General features: G+C 35.8%; 1 long non-coding RNA gene across 2 annotated transcripts in view; it reads right to left on the reverse strand.

Annotated features, from left to right (window-relative positions):
• Positions 1–24,591, reverse strand: part of LINC02296 (long intergenic non-protein coding RNA 2296) — a 268,818-nt gene that overhangs the window by 98,169 nt on the left and 146,058 nt on the right. The window contains exons 4-6 of one of the 2 annotated variants that reach the window (XR_007064294.1): positions 14,579–14,696; positions 13,721–13,869; positions 10,281–10,334 (exon numbers count right to left, since the gene is read on the reverse strand). This is a non-coding gene — a long non-coding RNA (long intergenic non-protein coding RNA 2296). Of the gene's footprint in view, positions 1–10,280; positions 13,016–13,720; positions 13,870–14,578; positions 14,697–24,591 lie in introns of those variants that run through there. The other variant, XR_007064293.1, reaches the window with a different exon arrangement.

Consider the following 24,591-nt stretch of genomic DNA (forward strand, 5'->3'; position numbering starts at 1 on the left):
CAAGAGGTGGAAGCCATTAAATATTTGTAGCAGAGAAGTAACATTATCTGATTTGTCTTTTCAGAAGTGTGAAGTATAGATAAGAAAAAAGAGGGGTAGGGGCAAGTCCAAATACCATAACATTTATTCATTCAACAAATATTTTATGAAGGACCTATTATATTCCAGCCACTTTTTCCAAACTGGCTTGGACTAGAGTGGTGGCAGACGAGCTAGAGGGAACTGGAGAGATACAAAATACATTTTGAAGCTTGAGCAGTCAGAAATGCAGAATGAGTTATAATGAAAGGAAAAGAAAGAGAAAGGAAGAAAAGGAAAGAAAGAAAGTGAAAAAAAAGAAAGAAGAAAGAAGGAGAGAAAGAAAAAGAAAAAGAGAAAAAGAGAGAGAGTGAAAGAAATAAGAAAAGAAAGAAAAAGAGAAAGGAAGAAAGGGAGGGAGGGAAAGAAAAAAGGAAAGGAAGAAAGAAAAGTAAGAAAGAGAAAGTGAGAGAAAAAGAGAGAAACGGAGAGAAAGAAAAAGAGAGAGAAAGAAAGAGAAACAGTGAGTGGGAGGAAGGGAGGGAGGGGGGAGAAAGAAAGAGAAAGAAGAAAGAAAAAGGAAAGAAAGAGGGAGGAAGGGGGAGAGAGAGAAAGAGGGAGGAAGGGGGGAGAGAGAGAGAGAAAGGAAGGAAGGAAAGAGAGGGAGGAAGGGAGGGAGGGGGGAGAGAGAAAGAAAGAGGAAGGAAGGAAGGAGGGAAGACTTCTGGGTTGAAAGAAAGAAAAGTAAAAAGAAAGAGAAAGACGAAAGACTTCTGGGTTCTTGGCTTGAGCAACAAGGTGCAGCTTTTCTACATGGGATATATGGAAAGGGTTAGGTCAGAGTCTGGAGCAAAGAATCATGAACTCTGTTTTAGATATCACAGGTGTAAGAAGCATATTCATCACCTATGTTCAGATTTAGTGTCTAGCTTTTCCAGGATGGGACCTGAGGATGGTCTTGGAGCTGGAAAACCAGGAGCAAGCCATTGAATATGTCCATCCCATCTCAGTTTCCTACTCTCATTTCCCCAGAGCATTCAAGGATACTTCAATGTTGATTTTGGTCAGGACTTAGGTTTTCTTCCTGGAAATGTAACAGTTACAAAATCCTTGGCCTTCTTGAGTCAGGTCCTGCCTAGTCATTGACAAAACCCTCTCCCTAGAGCCATGATCTGTATCCCCTTCCAACTGAGTCACCTACCATGTTCTAAGCTCTTTTAATGAAGTCTCTTTTTTCCAGGCTTACCTCCAAGGACATGAAAAGCTGAAGCAGACTGGAAAAGTGATACCATTCAAATCATATTCCTAAAAGATTTTTAAACATTTTAATAAGCTCATCAACCTATGTCATTTCCTTCTCCTCCTCCTCCTCTTCCACTTCTTGTGCAGTTGTAATTATTATGAACAGGATATAATGGTTTATAAATAATGTTCGAGTTTCTTGGTTTTAGGACTTTTTGTAAAATAAGCACCAAAACCAAAATAGTCTTTAATGACTCCATTAAAGAAGAAAGCATATCTTTTATAATTTCTTAACACTACGTACTTCTCAACATCATCAAGTCTCCCTCAAATGAAAAATAAACTAAATTGTTTTTAATATTTTTTAATGCCATTACTAAAATACAGTGCACTAAGAAAGAACCAACTAAAATTCCTAAATTAATGCTTTATAATATTACAGTGATGTGTACTGTTTAATTAAGGCCATAGACCAGTTGATTATCAAAGATTTTTTTTTTCCTTTTGATCTAATGATTGTTTGATATTTTTTCTAATCCCATTACTAACTTGTCTCATCCATTAACCTACGTAAGTGGAGTGTGAAAAATGCATTCATAAATTTAAGTTAAATTTTTTTTAAATTGCAGCATGTGAAATCTACTTAATAAATTCACACCAACTCCACAAAGCATTGGGGCAATTTATAAACAATACATATGATAAAAAAATTTATAATCAATGAGAATTTAATAAGTTGCAGAAATATTTTTCAGGGAAAGTAAAGATTTTCAGAGTATTATGTTTTAAAATAACTGCTTTATATGGAACTATATACATAAGACTGAGTGATATAATACTCAAAAAATACATAATTGTAGTTTTTGCACATTATAAGTAATACAAAAAAGTCTATGCTAGATATGTATTATAACATAATACCATTAAACATGCTTACTAAGCTGTCCTTTTGACACCTAGTATCAACTTGTAGACACTTTTATGGGGAAGGAAAAAAAGTCACACTAAGAATAATGTATCTTGAATTATTACCAAAACAATGTCTCACATTGTGAGCACATTCTTTTCATATATTTATCTCTGTCTCTCCTCTAACCTGGAAATTTTAATATGTAGCCGAATTGTGTTGTATATTGTAAAGAACTTAAAAGCAATTATATAATTTCAATACATTTGCATTTGTTTTTCTTTGCAATCTTACACTTAGAGAAAGAACATTAATTTGCTCTTTGCCACCAAACTAAACAAAAGTAGAAATGACCCTGCTAACTCTATTTCTGCAATTTTACTTATAATAGCATTTAAAAACTCATTGATTTATATGCATTTCCATATTCCAATTTGAAATATTCACATAACAAAGCATAAATTGAGTGCCCATACTTGAAAACAAGTAAATAGTTTAAAATGTATTCCCTGAACCCACTGAGAATTCTTTCAAGCCTACATTATTCAGGAGAATGCATGCAGCTGTTTAAATTGATATCCTTATCTCTTTCTCCAGGATGGCAGGTCTGGGGTCTTCTTATTTACTACTGCATTAAGCACAGAGCCTAGTACCTAATAAGAGCTCAATAAATATATGTTGCATGGATAATAACTAAATTCATGTTTAAAATTATCATGTGCTGATCAGTTTCTATATTAATGCAGGAACTGTCTTGAGATCCATATGAGTTTTTGACCATTGTCTCCTTCACTAGGCCGTAATGAGGGTCCTTGAGGACAGGTACCACATTTCATTTTCCTTTATATTCTCAGTGCTTTGTTAATAGAAGTTAGTCAATAACTATTTGTTAAGTGGATAGTGATTTTAAACAAACATAGCTTACAAAATAATGACAGGCATAATCAACAGATTTGACAGAATAAAAATGAGAAAAAACAATGGTTGTGGCATTCCTAGATTTTATATGAAACCTACACATGCATATATTGTATAGATGTATGTCACTGTGTTTAACATATTACTATTTTATTTTAATAAATGGATCTATAGGTCAGTATATTTATTGGTTTGTTCCCTGACTCTTTTGTCAAATAAGTTGGAATCAGGAATTTACTTGCCCTATTAGGTACCATTATGTTTCTAAAAAACATAAGACAACTTTACTACATTATGCCATTGTATGTCATCAAAAATGAACATTATTTTGTATCTGTATGCCCATTATAGTGTAACCATTTTGAGGAGAGGAGATGTTACCTTAGTCATTTGTGAAACTCCAGCTCCAAGTTTAGAGTACACCATGTGTTTTACTAATAAGCCTTAGAGAATTTGGATTACTATAGAGCAATAATTCTCTTGGGAGCTGAATTGACAACTTGTTAACCATTGGAAAATACAATATTATGTGTTACTTGATTACACAAATAAAACCTGTTTACTAAAAAAGCAAAACTGGCACATGGACGTGTCAATTGCCTTAAACTGCCGGATTCAATCTGCCAATGTCAATCAAAGGTCTCTACATTGTACACTTTCTTTGAGATATCAATTTTGTTTAGAGAATTTTCTCTTTGGGAAATAATGAATGATTTGTGATTGGATTTAGCTACAGATGTTTTCTGGTAGCATTTTAATAATAAATACCTGTAAATAACTGAAGTAGCCAACATTGTATCACGGCTATAAAAAAAAACCTAAGATAATCTGCATAATGAAATAAAACTTCAATGCATATTATGTTTTAAATGAATATATATTTACAAGGGTATATGCTCATGAAACATAAGACAAAAACAAGGCCACACACACACAGACACACACACACACAGAGTATATAGCATAACCTTATCCCTACCAAATATAAAGTAATAAAGATATCTATAATAACATATGTAGAACTATTAAATAATATTTCCCTCTAGCTGATTTTCTGTATTTTAAAATATTTCTACAGTAAGTATATCTTGTTATATAATAAAATACGATTATTTTAATGGTAAAATATGGCATGTTTTTAGAGAATATTAGGAGTATTTTGAAAAACACATATAAGAAAATAAAAAGCCATAATATAATTACCCAGACATAAACACCATAACATTTCATACACATCCCTCCAGGCTTTCTAAATATATTTTTAACATAATTGAAATTACACTGTATGCTAGATGATACCTAGTTTGTAAACATTATACCTTGAACAATGCCCTAGAGTGTTTTTTTACAACATAATTTTTACTGAATGCATAGTATTTCATCATATCATTTCATAAATCTTTAAGTAATATTGATACTTTAGGGTTGGATATTTGTATTGCTTCCAGGTTTCCACCATCATAAATAACATTAAAGTGAGTCTTCTTATAGATTTGTTTTTCTGGCTGGTATTTTCTTAAAGTAAGTGTCCAGAAGAGGTTTTGCTAGGTTAAAGAATCAACACATTTTAAGACCTCCGATATATATTACCACATCACTTAACAGAAAGCTTTCAGTGAGCAACATGAAAACAAGAGAATGCCGGATCCTCTGCATTAAAAAAAAAACATTTCCTAAAAATCATTTCAATGAACATAATGATTAGTTGATTTAAAAGATATAAATTTAATGAGGCTTCCACCCATTTCATGTCTGGAATGGCTGTCAGAAATTTTGAGTATTTCTTTAGTAATTTTCCATGCAAATCTATCCATATATTTGTGTATGTACTCACAATAGCATATACTATTACGTATGTGTGCCTGCATTCTATTTACTAAGAAATAAACATGACATCTCCTATTTGAATTTTTTCACTTAATAGTACGTGTTGCCTATCTTTCTATGTCAATGTCAGCATATATATCTATTTCATTCTTTTTAATGACTTTTTACTGTTGCATAGTATATAAATTTTTTATGCTACAAAGCGTTTCATGATAAGAGCTGCCTGCTAAAAATAGCAAAACTGGCACATAATTTAACATTTTCTTATTTTTGAGCATTCAAGATGCTTCTAGAAATCATTATTTTTAAAAGTTTTATAATATGGTATACAAAAAAGGAGGGGTATGATTAATTTACTTCATTTGGCAGTAGAATATATTCATCTTTGTCATCCGCCTTCTTTTTTTTTTTTTTTTTTTTTGAGACGGAGTCTCGCTCTGTCGCCCAGGCCGGACTGCGGACTGCAGTGGCGCAATCTCGGCTCACTGCAAGCTCCGCTTCCCGGGTTCACGCCATTCTCCTGCCTCAGCCTCCCGAGTAGCTGGGACTACAGGCGCCCGCCACCGCGCCCGGCTAATTTTTTGTATTTTTAGTAGAGACGGGGTTTCACCTTGTTAGCCAGGATGGTCTCGATCTCCTGACCTCATGATCCACCCGCCTCGGCCTCCCAAAGTGCTGGGATTACAGGCGTGAGCCACCGCGCCCGGCCGTCATCCGCCTTCTTTTGTGAGTATATTAATTACATGTCTTTATAGGTAATGATTTTTATTGTTATTCTTTTCCTTGATTTTTCTGAACTCACTCAATATTTAGAATAACATTTTTCCATGCAACTAAAATATATTTTGTCATTCATCTTCTTTGTTTTTATTTTATTGTATTTTTTTGAATTTTTATTTGGCTAGATATATCAATCTCTTTTACTCAAATTTTATTATTTGTATTATACTCAGAAAGATCCAAAAGCTTATATGATCTTCTATATTTTCTGGAAGTTCTATTATAAATTATTTAAACAATTAAATTTTATTACAGTTCCACTTTTCTGGACTTCCCATATCATCATATAGCATTAGCTTGAATGTTACAGTGGCACATCAATGAAAATAAATGGTAGATTTCGCCCTATAATCGAGGCCAAAGAGATGGTGCCATCTTTCTGTATGCATTGAGGAGACTTCCCCTCATCTGCTCTTCATTGCTGATGTTAAAAAAAAAGTGGCTATAGTCATTGAAAGGGTCATGTAATTTTTAATGGGGGTAGCCGAGAGTCATGTCCAAATGCCAGCTAAAGTAATTACATTCTGCTTATAAGGAATAGCAGTATAATTTCAATTAGAATAGTACCAAATGGACTCATATAAACCTGGGGGTTTGAAATCCACTCAGGTCACCAGAAGATAAATGAGACATGTGACTGGAGACATGCCCAGAGGTAAAATTAATTTTTAGGCTGTTTCTGATGGCTAAGAGTCAATGGCCTATTTCCAAGACAGACAGGTATGGACAAGAAGGGAAGTGGTGGGAGGAGGGAGAAGGAGTGGTAGACTATCAATCAAAAATGTAATAGTAACACTTAGGACTACTCCATGTCAAATCATTGAGTACCCATAACAAACCATGAGGTAGTACTATTCTACTATCCTTATATTACAGATTAATAAAAAGGAGACTATTGAGTGATCAGAAAGATTAAGTGATTACCCAAACAACATAATTATTAAGAGGGGGGAGGTGGCACTGGATCCCAGGCATTCTGGCTCCCAGGACTGTCACTCTCCTCTGATCTGTATTGTCACGAAAATCCTACTTGTCCTCAACCTCCTGAAAAGCGTCGTCATAAAGAAGTGTTTGGAAGTTGGTCCATAATTTTACAATCGGCTCCGTGTTTGCTGTATTTTACACTCAAAAATTAAGTGAGCTATTTATAAAGGGCTTAAAACAATCCTTGACACAAAGTAAGCAACACCTGAATTTTAGTAATGAATAAAATAAATCAGCTCAATTATATTTATTCAATGCTTATTACGTTGCAGGCACTCTGCCAGGTATTGGAAACACAACATTGAGCACAAGAGACTAAGCCACTATTCCTTTAAACCCACAGTTGAGTAGGGAGAAAAATGTACATGTAAAGTAAAATTTCACAATTATTATTTCATAACTCTTGTGAAAACTGCCATACAAATAAATGCAATGTATCTTGAGGGTATATGGCAGAGAGACTCGACTCAGGGTACAAGCTCACGCAAGATCCAAAGGCACTGAGAATTGATCTAAGAACCAAGAGATGATATGGAGGTAGGCAAAAAGAGGGCTGGGTGAGAGCCTTCTAGGTAGAGAGAAACTCAAGATACAGAGGCCCCGAGGCAGAAGGGCGATTGGCAAACTGGAATGTCCAGGAATAGGACTACTGTGTTTAGTTTTTATTAAACAAAAGCAAGGGAGACATCCAAGAAAGTTTCAGATGAGACCTCTACTCTCCCCAAGGCCTCTCTCTGCACCTACCTCCGCTTTTGTTTCAGCTCACTTCTCCACCATACCAAATGTTGTGGACAACTCACTGCCTTTTTCATTGGTCTTCCTTGACAATGATCTTTCCTGGTGCTGTAGGTGGAGTTGTGACCACACCTTCTCCTCTCCTGTTAAAAGTTGCATAACTCAAACTTCCAGTCTCACCCTCTTTCTCTTACACTATGTACATTACCCAGGTGAGCTCATCTACTATTATACCGTTACTGCATCTGCTTCCTGGTGACACCCAAATCTGCTCATACAGTTTGATTTCTGCACTGAATTCAAAAGCTCCCTACTGAACAGCATCATCTGAGTGTCTGTGTAGCCTCTCGTCTTCAACATGTCCACACCTATCTCCTTTATTCTGTGCCAGGCTTTCTTCTCTCTGTTTCAATTTTTAGTTAACGGCATCTCTTTTACCCAGTTTCCCAGACAGAGTCCTAGGAATCATCCCTTACTTCTCCTCTCCTGAATGTTCAATCAGTCACTAAATACCATTGCATCTACCTTCTTACCATCTCCTGAATCTCTTCACTTCTGTCTGTGTCCCTTACTTTAGGTCCTCTCTTTATCACCAGTATTTGTGTATTAGTCATCTAAATGCTTTCCTTGTCACCAGCCTTGGTTCTCAGGATCCGTCTCTCATAACACTACCAGAGTGATCTTTTAGGTATAAAATATGTTCACATCCCTCTCTTGTTTCAAATTATTTTATGATTCCATTGCCTGCAAAATCAAATCAGAACACAAGGCCTTCATGACGGGAGTTCCATGTTTAACTCTCCATCCACTCATCCATCCTGGCCACTCTTCCACTTTATGTCAACTATCTTTTCATTCAGAACTATATGTTGCTTCTGGAGCCAAGCATGATCTTCCTCTTCAAGTCTTCTGGAAAGTCTTTCCTTCCTCTCAATATTGATCAGCCTAACCTCTACCATCTCAATAAACCTACTGTGAGCCAGTCTTGCAGCAGAACTTCATACTTCACTTGATTAACATATATCTAGCTCCACTCTAACAGGGGTGCCATGATGACACCTTTTAACATATATCTAGCTCCACTCTAACAGGGGTGCCATGATGACACCTTGGGTCCCCAAATATCAAAGCCAACTAAGACCCATATGCAACAATAATAGAGTGACTGGGTGCTCCCTTTTCCCAAGTATACCAATATAGGCATTCATAGTTGTCCTTGGGTCAGAAACATTATTATGGGAAATCATTACTGTAACACTTGCCATTATATTGCAGGATTTTTTCTCATGGATACTGACCTCTCCTTCTGTCAATGGGTTGTGAGCCAGAAGGCTGTCTTAGGTCCAGAGACTGGAAAGGTGTGAAATACATGTACATAGTTTCTCTACATGCATTACCTTTATTTATTTATTTATTTGTTTATTTATTTATTTATTTATGAGACAGAATCTCACTCTTTCGCCCAGGCTGGAGTGCAATGGCGTGATCTCGGCTCACTGCAACCTCCGCCTCCCGGGTTCAAGCAATTCTGCCTCCCTCAGCCTCTCAAGTAGCTGGGATTACAGGTGCCAGCCACGACACCTGGCTTTGTATATTTAGTAAAGATGAGGTTTCACCATGTTGGCCAGGCTGGTCTCGAACTCCTGACCTCAGGTGATCCACCCACCTTGGCCTCCCAAAGTGCTGGGATTACAGGCATGAGCCACCACACCCGGCCCATGCATTACCTGTAATATTTCAAAATATAGATGGTATTATGCACATACATGTTACCAATTAGAAAATCAAGGCTCAAGAAAGTTATGTAATTAGCCCATGCAATGCAATTTATAAGTATCAGAGACACTATTGGAAGGAAGGTCACTTCACGGGACAGTTTATTTTCCTTCCACCCCATCCAGTGTAGGCTCAATACAAACAGCATAAGAGCATGGTCTCACTGGAAAATAGCTTTACCTCTGAAGGTAAACTGTGTTTCTGTGGAACAGTTTTTTTCACTCATAAAATACCAAGAATGATAGTACATATGTGACAGAGCTTTTGTGAGGATTAAATGACATAAAGTAGGCAGAGGGCTTAGCAAAATAGTGGGCATGTAATAAGCACTGATTAAATATTAGCTATCATCAATATTGTTATTATCATTGTTAATAAGAATCGGACAAACTATAAAGCAATTAACATGACACCTAGCACAAAATTATTAGCTATTACTTTTATAGCTAATATTTTTATCAGCTATATTATTAGCTTATGTTATTAGTTATATTAGTTTAATATGACCACTAATAATATAATAATTATTAATCTTTGTGAAATATGTATAGTCCATTAATTTAATACCTCTCTTACAGTAAATTTTCCAAAAATGTTAATGTTTAATGGTGCTTCATGGCATATGATCATTGCATATATGTTGTGGAAACTTGAAAATGTTTCTAAACAAACCTACATTGTACTTTACAATGCCTTAGTTGTGGGAAAACCGTCACCATGCTGCTGTAAAAACCCTTGATAGTACTCTCAGGTGTAGCGGCAACTTTGGATATCTATGTACATTTAGTCAAATTATTCTAGAACTTTATTCAAGTCCCTAAGCTGGGACCAGTCCAACCCACCACCCACTTCACTGACTTAATCTGAAATGCAAATGTAACAACATCCTTCTGGCTCCAAAATTTGGGAGGAGCTTTATTCTAAGTAGTTAAATGGGAATATCCCAGTAGTGACAGTCTTCTGCATCTCAATTAAAATTAACAATAGGCATGCCATATTTTGCGACTTCACACGTTGGTAGACCTTCTTTTTAGTTTAAAAGAGAAAGAAACATACCATCTTCTTATAAGCACCAGTAAGATGAAGAATTTACCTTGATCTTGAACCTCACATCCATATTAGCCTTCCTTCTACATGACGCCACAGTCTGCATGAGTGAAGATCATCCCATCAGAATTATTAGCTCAGCATAATTTCCGTAACAGATTCCCAGGGAACAGTGAAGAACAACCCAGGTATAATAGCAAAGAATGCTTTTGTTCAATTTCTACCTAGAAGGTAGAAATACACACACCCATATTACCATTGTTTCCACCTCAACAATAAGATAGAAGCCAGATCATGCACAAAATGATTGCTTTTCTTGAGCCCACCGGGACCTGAGATTTGAAAGCAACAAAATGGGCAGAATTCCAAAGGGTCAGCTCCTCTGAGGAGCGAAGACGGACAAACAAACTCCTTACCTTTGATGGAACATGGGAGGAAGTGGCTGGTGCCATAGACTCAGATAAGAAAGAAATCTGCTCAAATGTTAAAATAATTCTTAAAGGCTGAATGTGGGTTATCATATCAGTTAAGAAAGACTGGAAACTCTCACATGAAGAAGTTTATAGGCACTGGCAAGCTCTTTTTCACAAGCCCCACCTAAAAAATAAAGCTCCTATGAAAGATGAAGGGATTGCAGGCAGGGCAGGAGACTGAAGAGAGTTCCCCCTCAGTGGTGCAGGTGAGCGGGTGGAAATCAGCTGCTGCTGGGGTGGGGCATAAAGCCTCGCCCACTGCCCAGGCCTCTTCTGTCATACAAGGCACCCTTCTCAAACTGTTGGTTTTTGGGAGAGTACAGGAAACACTCAAGCCACAGGGACCCAGGCAAAAAACAAATACTTCTGATAGGAGGATAAGAGTATCAGTTACATTGAATTAGGGCCCACCCTAATAGCCTCTTCTCAACTAATTACATCTGCAATGACCTTATTTCCAATTAAGGTTTCATTCTGCGATGCTAGGGGTTACCAGTACCAATTCTGAGCGGGACACAATTCAACCTCTAATAAAGTGGCAGCAGAAATGCTGAGAAAGCCCTACTTTTAAGGCCCAGAGACATGGAATCTTTCTAGTACTGAGGCTGGGGCAGAGAACAAAAATTCTTACCAACCTCCAGTGACCATAGCACCAAGTAATTAGAAATTATTTTGAATTAAATGGAAATAAAAACATACCATACCAATATTTGTGGGGTACAGGTAAAGCAGTATTTAGTATTTAGAGAGAAATTCTTAGCATTAAATACTTATAGTTGAAAAAAACAATAAATTTTGAAGTCAATGAACTAAGCTTCCACCCTAGGAAAACAGAATAAGGGCAAATTAAACACAAAGCAATTGGAAGAAAAAAAAAACATGGAAAAATAATTAAAACAGAAAAATAAATACAGACAAACCACTAAAATCCAAGATGGCTCTTTCAAAGAAAACAGAAAAAAAAGAAATTAAAAATGACCAATGTCAGAAGAGAGAAAGGGGACATCACAGTAAGTGCTACAACAGGATGAGGAAAGACTACCACCAACGTTATGCCAACACATTTGGAAGTATTGATGAAATGAATAAATCTCTTAAAAACACAAACTGCCAGTGCTCACTCAAGAAAGAAAAATAGAGGAGCAGAATAACATTTTGTCTGTTGAATAAATTAAATTTATGGGTAAAAATATCAGAGAATTCCAAGTCTAGGTGATTCCCTCGATGAATTCTTCCCATCATTTAAAGAAGAATTAATACTTATTTTATTCGAACTCTTCCAGAAAATAGAAGATATATGTATACTTCCCAACTTATTTCATGAGGCCAGCATTGTCCTAATATAAAAGCTGTACCAAGGCATTATAAGAAAACTGAAAACAATATTTCTCTCATGAACATAGGCAGATAAACTCTTAGCAAAATATTAGTAAATTGAATTCAGCAAAACATAAAAGGAATTATACACCAGAGCCATGTGGGTTTTATCCTCAGAATACAAGATTGGTTCCACATTTGAAAATCAATCAGTGTAATAGACTATATCGACAGATGAAAAAGAAAAAAGTTATTGATCTTCTCGATACGCTCAAAAAATTCTACTATATTCTACATTCATTCATGATAAAAATCTCAGTAGAAATAGAAACTTATCAACCTGAAAAAGGGCATTGATGAAAAATTTCAACTACCAACCATTACACTTACCAGTGAAAGACAGCATGTTTCCCCCTTGAAGAACAACACAACGATGCTCACCCAATATTTCTATCAACATTGAATCAGACGTCCTATTGATTGTGAGGAATTTCGAAAGCGCTTAGCATAAGATTTCTTTCTTGTCTACCTTCCACCACCTTCTCTAACTGATTTACTATTTCTCCCCACATGCATTCTACACCCCAGTTTTTTGAAGATGTCAGGCTATTTTGTAACTCTTTGCCTTTATTCTTACTACTTTTGCCTTCTGAATTGTATTTTATCTTTTTGTTGAACTTAAGGGTGACATTTTAGTCTAATGCTCTCCCAATTGAGCAATTTCAGCTGACTAGAAGGGTGACTTTCATAGACACAAAATACTTTTTAGATATTCTCTTTTATTTCCAAAATTAATGTTGGGTTTCTTTAAGTTACCAATTCAAATTCTTACTTTATCATTAAGTTTTTGAGTTTAACTTGTAAGTTCAATTCTACTTGTAGGTTTAGCTGATTTTAGCAATAACTTTAAAGGACACTTCAAATAATTTTGTGTTCCATTTGGAAACTTTTAAAATAAAGCACTTTTAAATATTTTAGGTTTTTTTTTTTTTTTTTTTTTGAGACGGAGTCTCATTCTGCTCATTCTGTTGCTCAGGCTGGAGTGCAGTGGCATGATCTTGGCTCACCACAGCCTCAGCCTCCCAGGTTCAAGTGATTCTTCTGCCTCAGCCTCCCAAGTAGCTGGGACTACAGGTGTGCGCCACCATGCCCTGCTAATTTTTGTATTTTTTTAGTAGAAACGGGGTTTCACTATGTTGGCCAGACTGGTCTCGAACTCCTGACCTCGTGATCCATCTGCTTCAGCTTCCCAAAGTGCTGGGATTACAGGCGTGAGCCACCACACCTGGCCAAATATTTTAGTTTTTATATTTTAATATGTTTTAGTTTGTTTTTCACTATGTTGCCTCAACTAATAATTACAAAATAACTTACTATATTTTTGAATCTAAAATAGTGTTGGTTATAAGAAGTAACAACACTTTACACACGTCTGAAAAGAAAAATGTTGCCAGTTAAACTATGATACGTTGTTGGTCAAATGACACATTCCAATTTCAGCAATAAGTGTGTCACTTAGAATATGAAAAAAAATGTTTTTAGAATTGCTAAAGTACACAGCTGGGCATGGTGGCTCACACTTGTAATTGCAGCACTTTGGGAGGCCAAGTTGGGAGAATTACTTGTGCTCAGGAGTGAAACCAACCTGGACAACCAAGCAAGACCCTAGCTCAGCAACAACAAGAAAAATAAAAACTTAGCTGGGCATGGTGGCGCAATGCATATTGCGCCTCAGGAGGTTCAGGTAGTAGGATCCCAGCTCCTCAGGAGGTTCAGGTGGTAGGATCACACGAGCCCTGGAGATTGAGGCTGCAGTGAGCCATGATCACGCCACTGCACTCCAGCCTAGGTGACAGAACGAGAACTTGTATCAACAACAACAACAAAAAAATTGATAAAATATGGTTAATATCACTTAAAAATACAAGTTAAATCTGTAATTAGGTAACCCTTAAATATTTTTGAATTTTTCATCATGAACACAAACTTGCAACTGATTTCAACTCAAAATAAGTCTAAATAACACAATTTAATTTGGAGATAGCATATTAGGCCAAATTCAGTCAACATTATTTAAAAAATCAAGCGTACACTGTCTTTCTTAACACACATTTTTTAAAAATCACACTTTAGTTTTAATTGTGTCGCTTACAATAGTTGTCTTAGATTTGACAAAATATAGTGTTGTCCCAAGTGCCTGCAATGTACCCTACCCCTTGCTCCCTAATACACTTTCCCTACTCTAAGGTTTGGATACTCATGAATCCAATAAGTTTGTTTTGTGTCTTTAAAATCATGTTGATATACTTATATGCCTGTCTTCTCATTATGTGAACTCCCTTAGGACAAAGACCAACCTTTATCTTTGCGTTATCTATTAAAGCTATATAATCGATGTTCAATACATATTCCCTCTTTCATTTTTAAAAATTTTTTGGTACCTACTATGTGTTAGGCCCTATGCTAAATACTGAGGATAAAATGTCAGATTCGCCCTGACTTCCAGGGGCTTACAGTTTAGTAGGGAAGCAGTGGATGCTGTGTGTGAACATACCTGAGGGGCCAAATCAGATGGAAGTGCTGAGATGAAGGAGTGACATACGGGTGAGGAAAATATTCTGAAGGTAGCATTTAAAGTTTCCATGTGTGTTAACTGCATGAAAGACATCCTCCTGTGTTATCAAAAATTAAATCAGATAGTTTTAAATAAAAGAAATCTATAGTCCTAAATTTATGAACAAACATAATATATAATCAAATTTAAAGTTTATATCATTAAAAGTATAATTGACCAAAATTCAATACTTATTGAAAACAAAGTTGCAGAAAATGATGCATACACATCAGTTTAGATGACTTATGGAGGTAATTAACTTAAAAAAAAAATCCTAGAAGAGAAGCAGAGTTACCCCTCACATTGTTGGTTTGTTTTGGTAGGAGTGAGGAAGACACACTACCAAAGAAATTGAGAAATTGACGGCAATAGAAAAAACAATGTAGTTTAGAGAACAATTCAGAACTTCATCGTAAAAGAAAATGCTTTCACTTTCTATTTGGCTAAAACGGCTATTAGAGCTAGAGTCTGGACAGCCACCATGTCCTTTCCTCTGACTCTCAATGTGTGGTTTCAGTTGGAGAGGGAAGGCTCCAGAGAAGCCCGGTGCAGTTGCAGAATTTGTACATCAGGGATACATTCCCAACTCAATTGAAGGTAGAGGAGTGGGTACTCGAAACGTTGGGTATCCCACTCAACAGTTTTAGGGTCTTCTATGCCAATCAGCAGCTGAAGCTGTGTTAGGGCATTTGGGGGACAGATAAGATGCTCCACAATAAACATCTGTGCTAGCTGGGCTTCTTCTTTTTTTTTCATTTATCTATTCATATGTTAATTAAAAAATACTTATCAAGGTCTTACTGTGTGCCAAGTGGTCTTGCAGGTCCTGTCAATATGCAGTTAAGAAAGACATTACCCCCAGTGCACAGTCTAAGGAGATGTAGACATGCAAACAATTGAAATAAAATGATATCATCAACTGAAGAGAGACAGATAAACCTGGAGTGAGGTGGATCAATATAGGAATATTCCACTGGGTCTGTAGCCATTTAATATCAGTTTAAATGTTAAATAGGAGAGAAGACTTAGAAAACAGAGAAAGCTTATTAATAATCCCCTATTTCTTTTGCTTTCTTCAGTTATTTTTGGCTTTAATAATGTTCTGTGTCCTGTCACATTTGTAAAGGGCATTGCTCTTCAAAGTGTGATTTGAGGAGTTCCAGGGGGTTCCTAAAACCTTCCCAGCATTCCCAACTCAGGTTAGATAGGAGTAAGTGACAAATATATTAGAAGAGACTCACTTTTACAGCTATTATTTCCTTAGGTTTCATTGTAACATTTTATTTGGACAAATAGTTCTATGATCAAAAATATAAGAATAAAAATTCATCATAAATTATTATACATATTGATCCTTACTACTAATAATAAGCTATGTATTTAATCTAGAAAATAATAATGAGAAATAGCATGAGATTTCTATTTGCTTATAGTTGGTCTATGGTGACTACCGAATTCATATTCAAAGAACTCTACAAATCATAATAAAGATCAAGGAATTTCTATATTCAGAAAAATTGATGTGAAGAGGTCTTACAAGGCTTGAAAAATAATTGCATTAATAGCAGAAGGAAAAAATAAACTTCACAGACACGGAAAAACAAAACAATTTTGAAGTACTTTTCTGTTTTCATAACTTTTACAAGAGAAGAGATGGAATAAGATGAGGTTGGCAACTGTTGCATTCAGAGCCCTATTCATTAATACAACTAGCCAAATATGAACATCAAACAGATAAGGCAGGGGGAACCCATGCTACATTTGTAGAGAGGAAAAAAAAAGGTATATAAGTGACAACACATCTGTACATTAAAATTTAAAGAGCAAATAGAGTTAAGTAAGTGCTTTAAAAATAGTCACCAATAAATTCAGTTGTTAAGTTTAACACTGACCTATACTACGTTGCTCTTTCTCAGAACTGATATCCTTTCTTTCTTTTCCACCTCTGATTAATGCAACATTTACAATACACGGAGAAACAGTGGATGTACAGCACTATAATGAGCTGAGGTGCCTAAATCTTGTAAAGATTCCGTAACTAGCAGCTAGAAACTAAAATTAGGATGAAACCATTTAAGTCCAAAGAATGTAACTTCCCCTAGCATCTATCAAAAGCTTCGCTCTTAATCTTATGATTGGAAATGGTTATTGCTGCTTAAACTGAATCTTCCTGGTTAATTCAGTCTCTGTCAGTGTTTAAATGAATTTTATGGTAGAATTTCAGTCAGTTCTCTGAGGATTCCACCACACAGAGACAGAGGAGACCCCTGAAAAGCAAGATTTTTTGTTTTGTTTTATTTTTGTGCTACTTGCTATCATCGTTGATGAGTTTTCTGAAAGAGGAGAAGTTATTTCTGGCTTTTGCCCGGTGCTATAGAGATCTTTGCCCTGAAGAGGTCAGAGAGTTTCTCTTCGGATCCAGCAAGTTTTCATGAAGATCCTTACCTTAATTCTTGAATGCTACTCACCTTATTTTCTCAGTATTCTACGTCTCCTAAAAATCTTCTGGAAGATTGGTGGGGACCAGTTAGATGGAGGCACACTAAACATTTATTTCTAAATTTTTGAGGTTAAATACGGATGCATAGCTACATATAGATTGAAATAAACAACACATAACTTTTTTGCATAAGTATGTTACATGCAATAATAGAAATATGCTATACTAAACATTGATTTGTTATTTTTCTAAAATCCAAAATTAACTGGGTGTCCTATAATTTTACTTGCTCAATCTGGCAACCCTACTAGCCACATAGATAACAAAGTATGTTTACACATTTGGTGAAATGATAGTCAGAGGCACATGCCATACCTGATTGCATCACTATGGCAAATATATTGCTTTCTCTAAAGAAACAGAGTGAATTCAGGCAAACTATAAATTATATATATATATACACCTATGGGTTTATATATACATATGGGTTTATATATATATATATGTTTATATATGGGTTTATATATATATGTTTATATATGGCTTTATATATATATATATATATATATGGTTTTTGTTTTTTTTTTGACAAAGTCTCATTGTGTTGCCTAGGGTGGAGTGCAGTGGTGCAACCTCAGCTCACTGCAGCCTCTGCCTTCTCGGTTCAAGGGATTTTCTTGCCTCAGCCTTCCGAGTAGCTGGTATTACAGGCATGCATCACCACAGCCGCCTAATTTTTTGTATTATTAGTTGAGACAGGGTTTCGCCATGTTGGCCAGGCTGGTCTTGAGCTCCTGACCTCAGGTGACCACCTGCCTCAGCCTCCCAAAGTGCTGGGATTATGGGCATGAGCCACCATGCCCAGACTGATTTTTAATTATTGTTCATTTTTTATATTATTCATATAATTTCTCCATTAATTCAGAAAATAAGTAGTTTAGTTCTACCTTATTGCTTTGGATGACATGACTTGGTATGACTGGAAATAAAACACTGACAATTAATGATTCACTGAAATTATACCTGATATTTGTAAATAACTTCAAGATTCATAGATGAAAAACATTCCAAAAACTGCCAGTATTTTTATTACAACTTATCTATTGCCTTACAAATGCCATCATCACCTTAGCTCAGCAAGAAAGATGATATTCTCTAGCTTGGGGGCCGTAAAACTTTCATTTTTCAATAGGATGTGCAGATATAAATCATTTATTAAACTTTAATAAATCTCTGTTCCACAGGTACACACCACTCCGCAGGGTATCAAAATCTTGTAACAGTTAATTATGGAATGTGAAGGTTACATATTTTTCAGCCCAATAACTTTAAAATGCTAAACAAAAAAATCAAAAGATTAGTTTTAATAAAACTCAGTAAACCAAAGAGTGTAAATAATATGGGTGAAGAATCTTTGAAATGTCAATATGGTTTTTATATGAGATTTTACTTCTGTTATAAGTAAACAAGGAGAGGAATTTAGGCAAAACCAATTTTTACTAGTATTCACTGAAAACTTTTCTTCTATTGAAATGGTGGCATATATTATATGCTACTAAGACAGTTCAAAAAACTAGAACCTATTCAAGATATTGTTGCATAACTTTGTAGATTCCTAAATGACTGTTCTTCTTTAAAAATAAAATGTTTCAAATATATAATTTAAAATACATAAAATTTCAATTTCCCCATATTAGCTGATAAGCAAAAGATAAATAAATTAGAAAATTTTAAATAATAAATCAGCACAGGTAAGTTGATTTGTAAAAATCTAGCTGAATTTTGCTTTCTAATTACAGAATCAGAATGTAAGGAGAAAATGTTTTCAGCTGGAACTTAAATAGACCGGCCACAAATAACCCGTAATTCTCTATAAATGGACTGTCATGCTGAGAACAGCTTTATGCCACGCTGATCCTAGCTCCACAAGAGCCGGCTAAGCTACACTTACCCAGTAGCAGGTCACACTCCAGAGCCCACTGGATTCTTGCTGACACAATAAGTACGCTTCCAGCTGGGGCCAAGAACAATCTGGACTCAGGCAGAGTGTGAATTACAGTGAAGAGCTACCACCCTCCTAACCACAGCCAATCAACAGAAAATAAACACAGGTAGGAGAAGGAATGAACTCCTTTCCACAACATGAGTACATCACTTTTTCTCTGTTACAGTTTTGTGGAGGAAATCATCCCCTTGGGATCTTCAGCGTTGTCTCATTTACCTCCGCTCTCTCTAGAACTGGGTGGTGCAAAAATGCCTAAGCCTTCTTGGGAAAGGAAACTGAGTGCCACATGCATAGGAGGCGTGGCTATGGGTCAGCTGGTGTACCTCTAATGCAAGTACCTCACATGCTTAAAATGGTTCTTCCTCCTATCCCTCCTTTCCGTAAACTGCACCCTCTGTTTCACCCAAAACCAAAATGGTAAAATCACTGAGAAAACACAAGAGTTATTGAAATCAAAGTGTTAACAATTCCTTTTAAGTGTATCTTGCGTTTTAAATGGATGTGGTATCTTAATATCATATTGTGATTATATTTTTAATTTTTCAAAGCCACAACCTGACTTAAAAGAGGTCAATATTCTTTTCCTCCTTTAATAAAATTGTACTGACAAGTTTTAATAAAAGCTGTGCCTGTTTTATATTTTCTTGTTGTGGATTATATACAAAATTAAATATAGAATCATTTTATGTTCAGTTAACAACTTTTAATTTTTTTCCTAATTGAAATGTAAGAGTGTACATATTGTTACTATGTAAGGCTTTGTAAAATGTAGTCCTTTTAAAGCTAAAAGAATAGGACCAAAATAATTCAACATAAACATGTATTAATCATGTGTCAATTACCATTTAAATCTGTACTACTATTTTACTATAGATAACTTACTGAACACCTCCCTTCAAAATAAATCACCATGATTTGAGATTAACTACAGATACTTATGGAGGTATAATTTATTACAAGGTAAATAGGAGTCCTAAACCATCTTAAATATATTAAGGAAAGACAAGAAGGGGAATCTCAGGATAAAATAACACCAGTCTTCCAATGGGAATATATATTTTGTAGTACGATTGCTTGAGAATACATGGATTCATTGCTACATGGGTGGATGGATGAAGCAGACAGTTCAAGTAGACTCTGAGGGAACTTCTGGAGGCATTGTGGGTTCAGAAAGAGAGAAGGGACTTACTGAGTTGACGCAGAAGGAGAGGGCTTGGAGCAAAACTTGCTCAAGAGTCTGAAGGGCATTCAAACCTCTTATTTTGTTTTCTTGGCTATGCCATATTGGATGAATTCCTAACCCCATTTCTATCCTCCATGGCTCCATGGAAATTCTTTTTATTTTTTTCTTCCCACCCATGAAGTCTTCTACTGCATTGCTACCTGGAATTATTATTTTGGTAGAACATTCTACTCACATATATGTTAAACTATATTATTGGTGTTAAGGGGAAATATATATTTTACTCTTCTCTGTACCCACGTAATCCCATCTCATAATACCTGTGCACAGTACAGGCTAAAGTGGTAAATATTTGACAACCACGAATTTAAAATTTGTTGTTTCATCTATTTACTAATTATCCCAAATGACTATGATGACATGGCTCATAATAATGTGCTTATTTTGATGAGGTCCAAATTTGAAGTTGATGTAAGAGCACTTCACTTAATCAGTGAAGGACTTTAGATGATAACTCAATAGAGTTCATGCCTCAGCATTATTGTGTAAACCCTTTGTTTCTACTTCAGAGGAAAACATAAGGATGAAAGGGCAAGGGCTTAACACACAAAGAGCTATTTAAAAAGAAAAGGATAAAGACAAATGGACAGTATCTGTGGAAATAAATTATAGGAACCACTTTCACTCTTCTTTGACTCACCTTGAGAAGAAAAGCCTCGAAACAGTACACTGCCAAGGCAAAGATCAATACAGCTCCCTCTTCTGAGATGCCACGCGGACTATGCCCCAAGTGAACATTTCAGGGGTGCATCTGCTTTTGTGGATTGGTGGGATCTACATCCCATCTGTTAGTTCTGACCACTCATTGATGGTGCATAATGAAATCTTTCTAATATGGTTTGGCTGTGTTCCCACCCAAATTTCACATGGTAGCTCCCATAATTCCTATGGGAAGGAATCAGTGGGAGGTAATTGAATCATGAGGGCGGGCCCTTCCCATGCTATTCTCGTGATAGTGAGTAAGTCTCATGAGATCCGATGGGTTCATAAAGGGGAGTCCCCCTGCACAAAGAGAGTCCCCGCCTCTCTCTTGCCTGCTGCCATGTAAGACCTGACTTTGCCATAATTGTGAGGCCTCCTCAGCCACGTGGAACTGTAAGTCCATTAAACCTCTTTTTCTTTATAGATTACCCAGTCTCTGTTATGTCTTTATTAGCAGCATGAGAACAGACTAATATACTGTACTACCAGCAAAGCTGTAGTCGTTCACCAGGCAACCATTCCTGTGAAATGAACGTAGCATATATAATGGATGTCAAAGAAGTTTCACCACTCAGAGAACATGATGTTATTAAGTATAACTTAAACTCTCAAGATCATTTTAAATTCCCTGAAATGTCTCAGCTAACCCATGTAGCATCTGGTAATAAAAATTATTTTTCAAAATGTAAATGTCAAATTGTAATATCATCTTTAAAATTGTTAAGAACAGGCATTGGCATAAAACATGGCTTTAAAGTTACAAAGACCTGAGTCCTTCAACTCAATATGTGACCTTGGATAAATCTAATAGCCTCAATGAACTTCCGTTTTTTCATCTGCGGAAAGGGAAAAATAATGCCTATGTCATAGGTACATGGTTACTACTAAATTATGTAACCTAAATATTCTAATTTTAATGATTAATTATTAAGTAGACATTTAAAATATACTCTACATGCTATATTAAAGAAACAATCTGAGAATAATTACTTCATTAAAAAGTAAAAATATTACCATGTTCAGAAAGAACAAATTATGCTGCTGTTACAGATAACTGTTGCAATATGTTATCACAAATATTCAAACGAATGTCTTCAATGCCCTAAACTTCAGTTTGTGGTCCATCTCTGGAGAGCCCAGCCTTCATACACTACTCAAGTTGAAAGGAGATTTCAGATGAAAAAGGTTTTACACTGGCTGAGAGAATGGATGGCTGGCTTTTCAAAAACAAACCAAAAATGGATTTTCTGTCTGAGTCCTAGGTTTAACTGTTAAGCTGGCCAGTTCAAAGATAATTAAAGGTTATCTCCTTTCTACTGATTTCCAAACTGGAAAACATACATAGCAATACTTAGTAACACAATCTATGTCAAAGGTTTTAAAAAAGCAGAATGCAAAAGCCAGCTGGATTTTGTCAGTCAGAATCAAGTTTTGATGTCATAAAGGGCACTGATATTAGCCTTTAATTCAGCAGGATGGGAAACTTCTTTCGAGAGAGAGAGCATGAAAGGAGAAAAGAAACAAGAGAAACAGATACAATAGCAAATCAGGATCAGAAAAAAAGAAGTGCAAAATAGAAAGTGAAAATAATTTACCATAGTAGCAATGTTTGGGGTTCTTTTTTCTCAAAGTCAATAATTGCTTAATATAATTCCCAGGAATATGGGTACCATCATTCATCAATCCATTTACTCATGCCACCAACGAATGACCAATTCCATCTTTGTGACAGGTATCCTGCTGTCCCTGAAGATATAGAAATATTAAGAGGTGATTACAGGACTGGGTGAGAGCACAGAAGACCACATAGCCAAGGGCTCCAGCAGAGGAATACACATTAGGCTTATAAATTCATGGTAGAGAGGCATCTGCCTGGGGGAGTCGGAGGTTTTATGTCCATTTACACAAAAGATTAAGGTTAACATAGGATGCTAATTCCATTCTATATCATACAACTATTTAACACGAATATTCAATAATGATTAAAGCTTTTCCACTGGCCACACTTTTTACTTCTGCCCTCTTGCAAAACTTGAGAAGATAGATGACTGATTATATCATCAAATCCATGACCATCTCCCCACCTAATCCATAAGGATGGGTCCCTAGAGTAATCTGTTGTTCACGGAGTCTTAATAGCTCAGAGAATGAGGTTTCCACCACTTCTTTGCACGATAAGCCCAAGGAATAATACATTTTACAGTCAGAAAGTAGATCCTGATATAAATCTTCATTAGGCTTTCTTTGCTTTACATGAACTTGTGAACACATGAATAATGCATTCGTTTGTCTAGGGATATGTAAGTCACAAGTCACCCTTTTATGAATGGAACAATCTTAGTCTATTTTCTTTCAGGGATTAAGAGGAACCAAACAGCAGACACTATAGACACTGTTAGTTTGGCCTATGGATGTCTCACAGTTAAGGCTCATTTCTCCTGGAGGCCCTAAATAGAAAAACCTAACTCCATGGGAGTATATCTGGACATTAGAACAGTACCTGCAAAGCACAGAGCCTGACAACCATAAACATTCAGATGAAAGGAAATGTGCTGTTTCTATTATTACATTATGCTAAACGCTTTTTTATTAGCTAGTGAATCTAATAACACAGCATTCATGAATTCAACGGATATGTATTGAATAGTCTCCAACTCTCATAGGCCTTATGGTCTAGAAAGAGAGAGGCATTAATCAATGGTTTACATAAATGTGTGTAAAATTACAATTATGGTTAGTATTTCAAAAGGAAGGTAAACGATGCTAAGAGAGGGTATGGGAAAATAGACAGGAATTCAGTCATTGCAGGATCTCCAGAGAGGGTTTCCAAGGGAAGTGAGGCAAGACTAGCTTTTTAAAGAGGTCATCTAGCTAGAGCATGAAAAAAAAAATTGGGGGTGGGGGCGCTAAGGGTGAATTTGGATATAAAATACAAACTAGGAGGTTATTACAGTAGTTCAAGCAAACCATGATAGTAAGTTGCTCTAATCTGGTGACTGTGAAAAATAGCAACAATAGTAATAATTAGAGCAAACATTTATTGAACACTTACTTTGTAGTAGGGAGAGAAATGAGAGGCTTTAAGAGATTTTTTTCAAAGACAGGTTCGACAGACTTACTGATGGATTGAAAATGGCTGGCTAAAAACAGGAAGGTGTTTTTAGGCATCTGATATGTGGGCTTGGAATATGATGGTACTATTTATTGAACCGGGAACCACTATGATGAGTCTTCTGTCCACCTGTACAATAATATTCCAAACATCAAACAAAATTATGTTTTGAAAAATGTCACTGAAGGATCTGGTGACTTGTTAATCCATCAACTTCAAAGCCTTACTCTGGAGAACTCAAAGAATAAGAGTCAGTGATAATGTAGATTTTCTGGTCAGCTGTCAGTCAAGACTTGACAAATTTTCATTAGTATTCATTATAATTCTACTCCTCATGGTAATTACTTCTATGAGACACATAGTTTGTAAACATCTTATCATATACTATCAACAAGGTAATTCTTTTTGTAGATTCTACACAAGTGGTTTTTCTAGTTTATAAATATAGGCA

This window comes from Homo sapiens, chromosome 14, assembly GCF_000001405.40.
Source record: "Homo sapiens chromosome 14, GRCh38.p14 Primary Assembly".
NCBI lineage: Eukaryota > Metazoa > Chordata > Mammalia > Primates > Hominidae > Homo > Homo sapiens.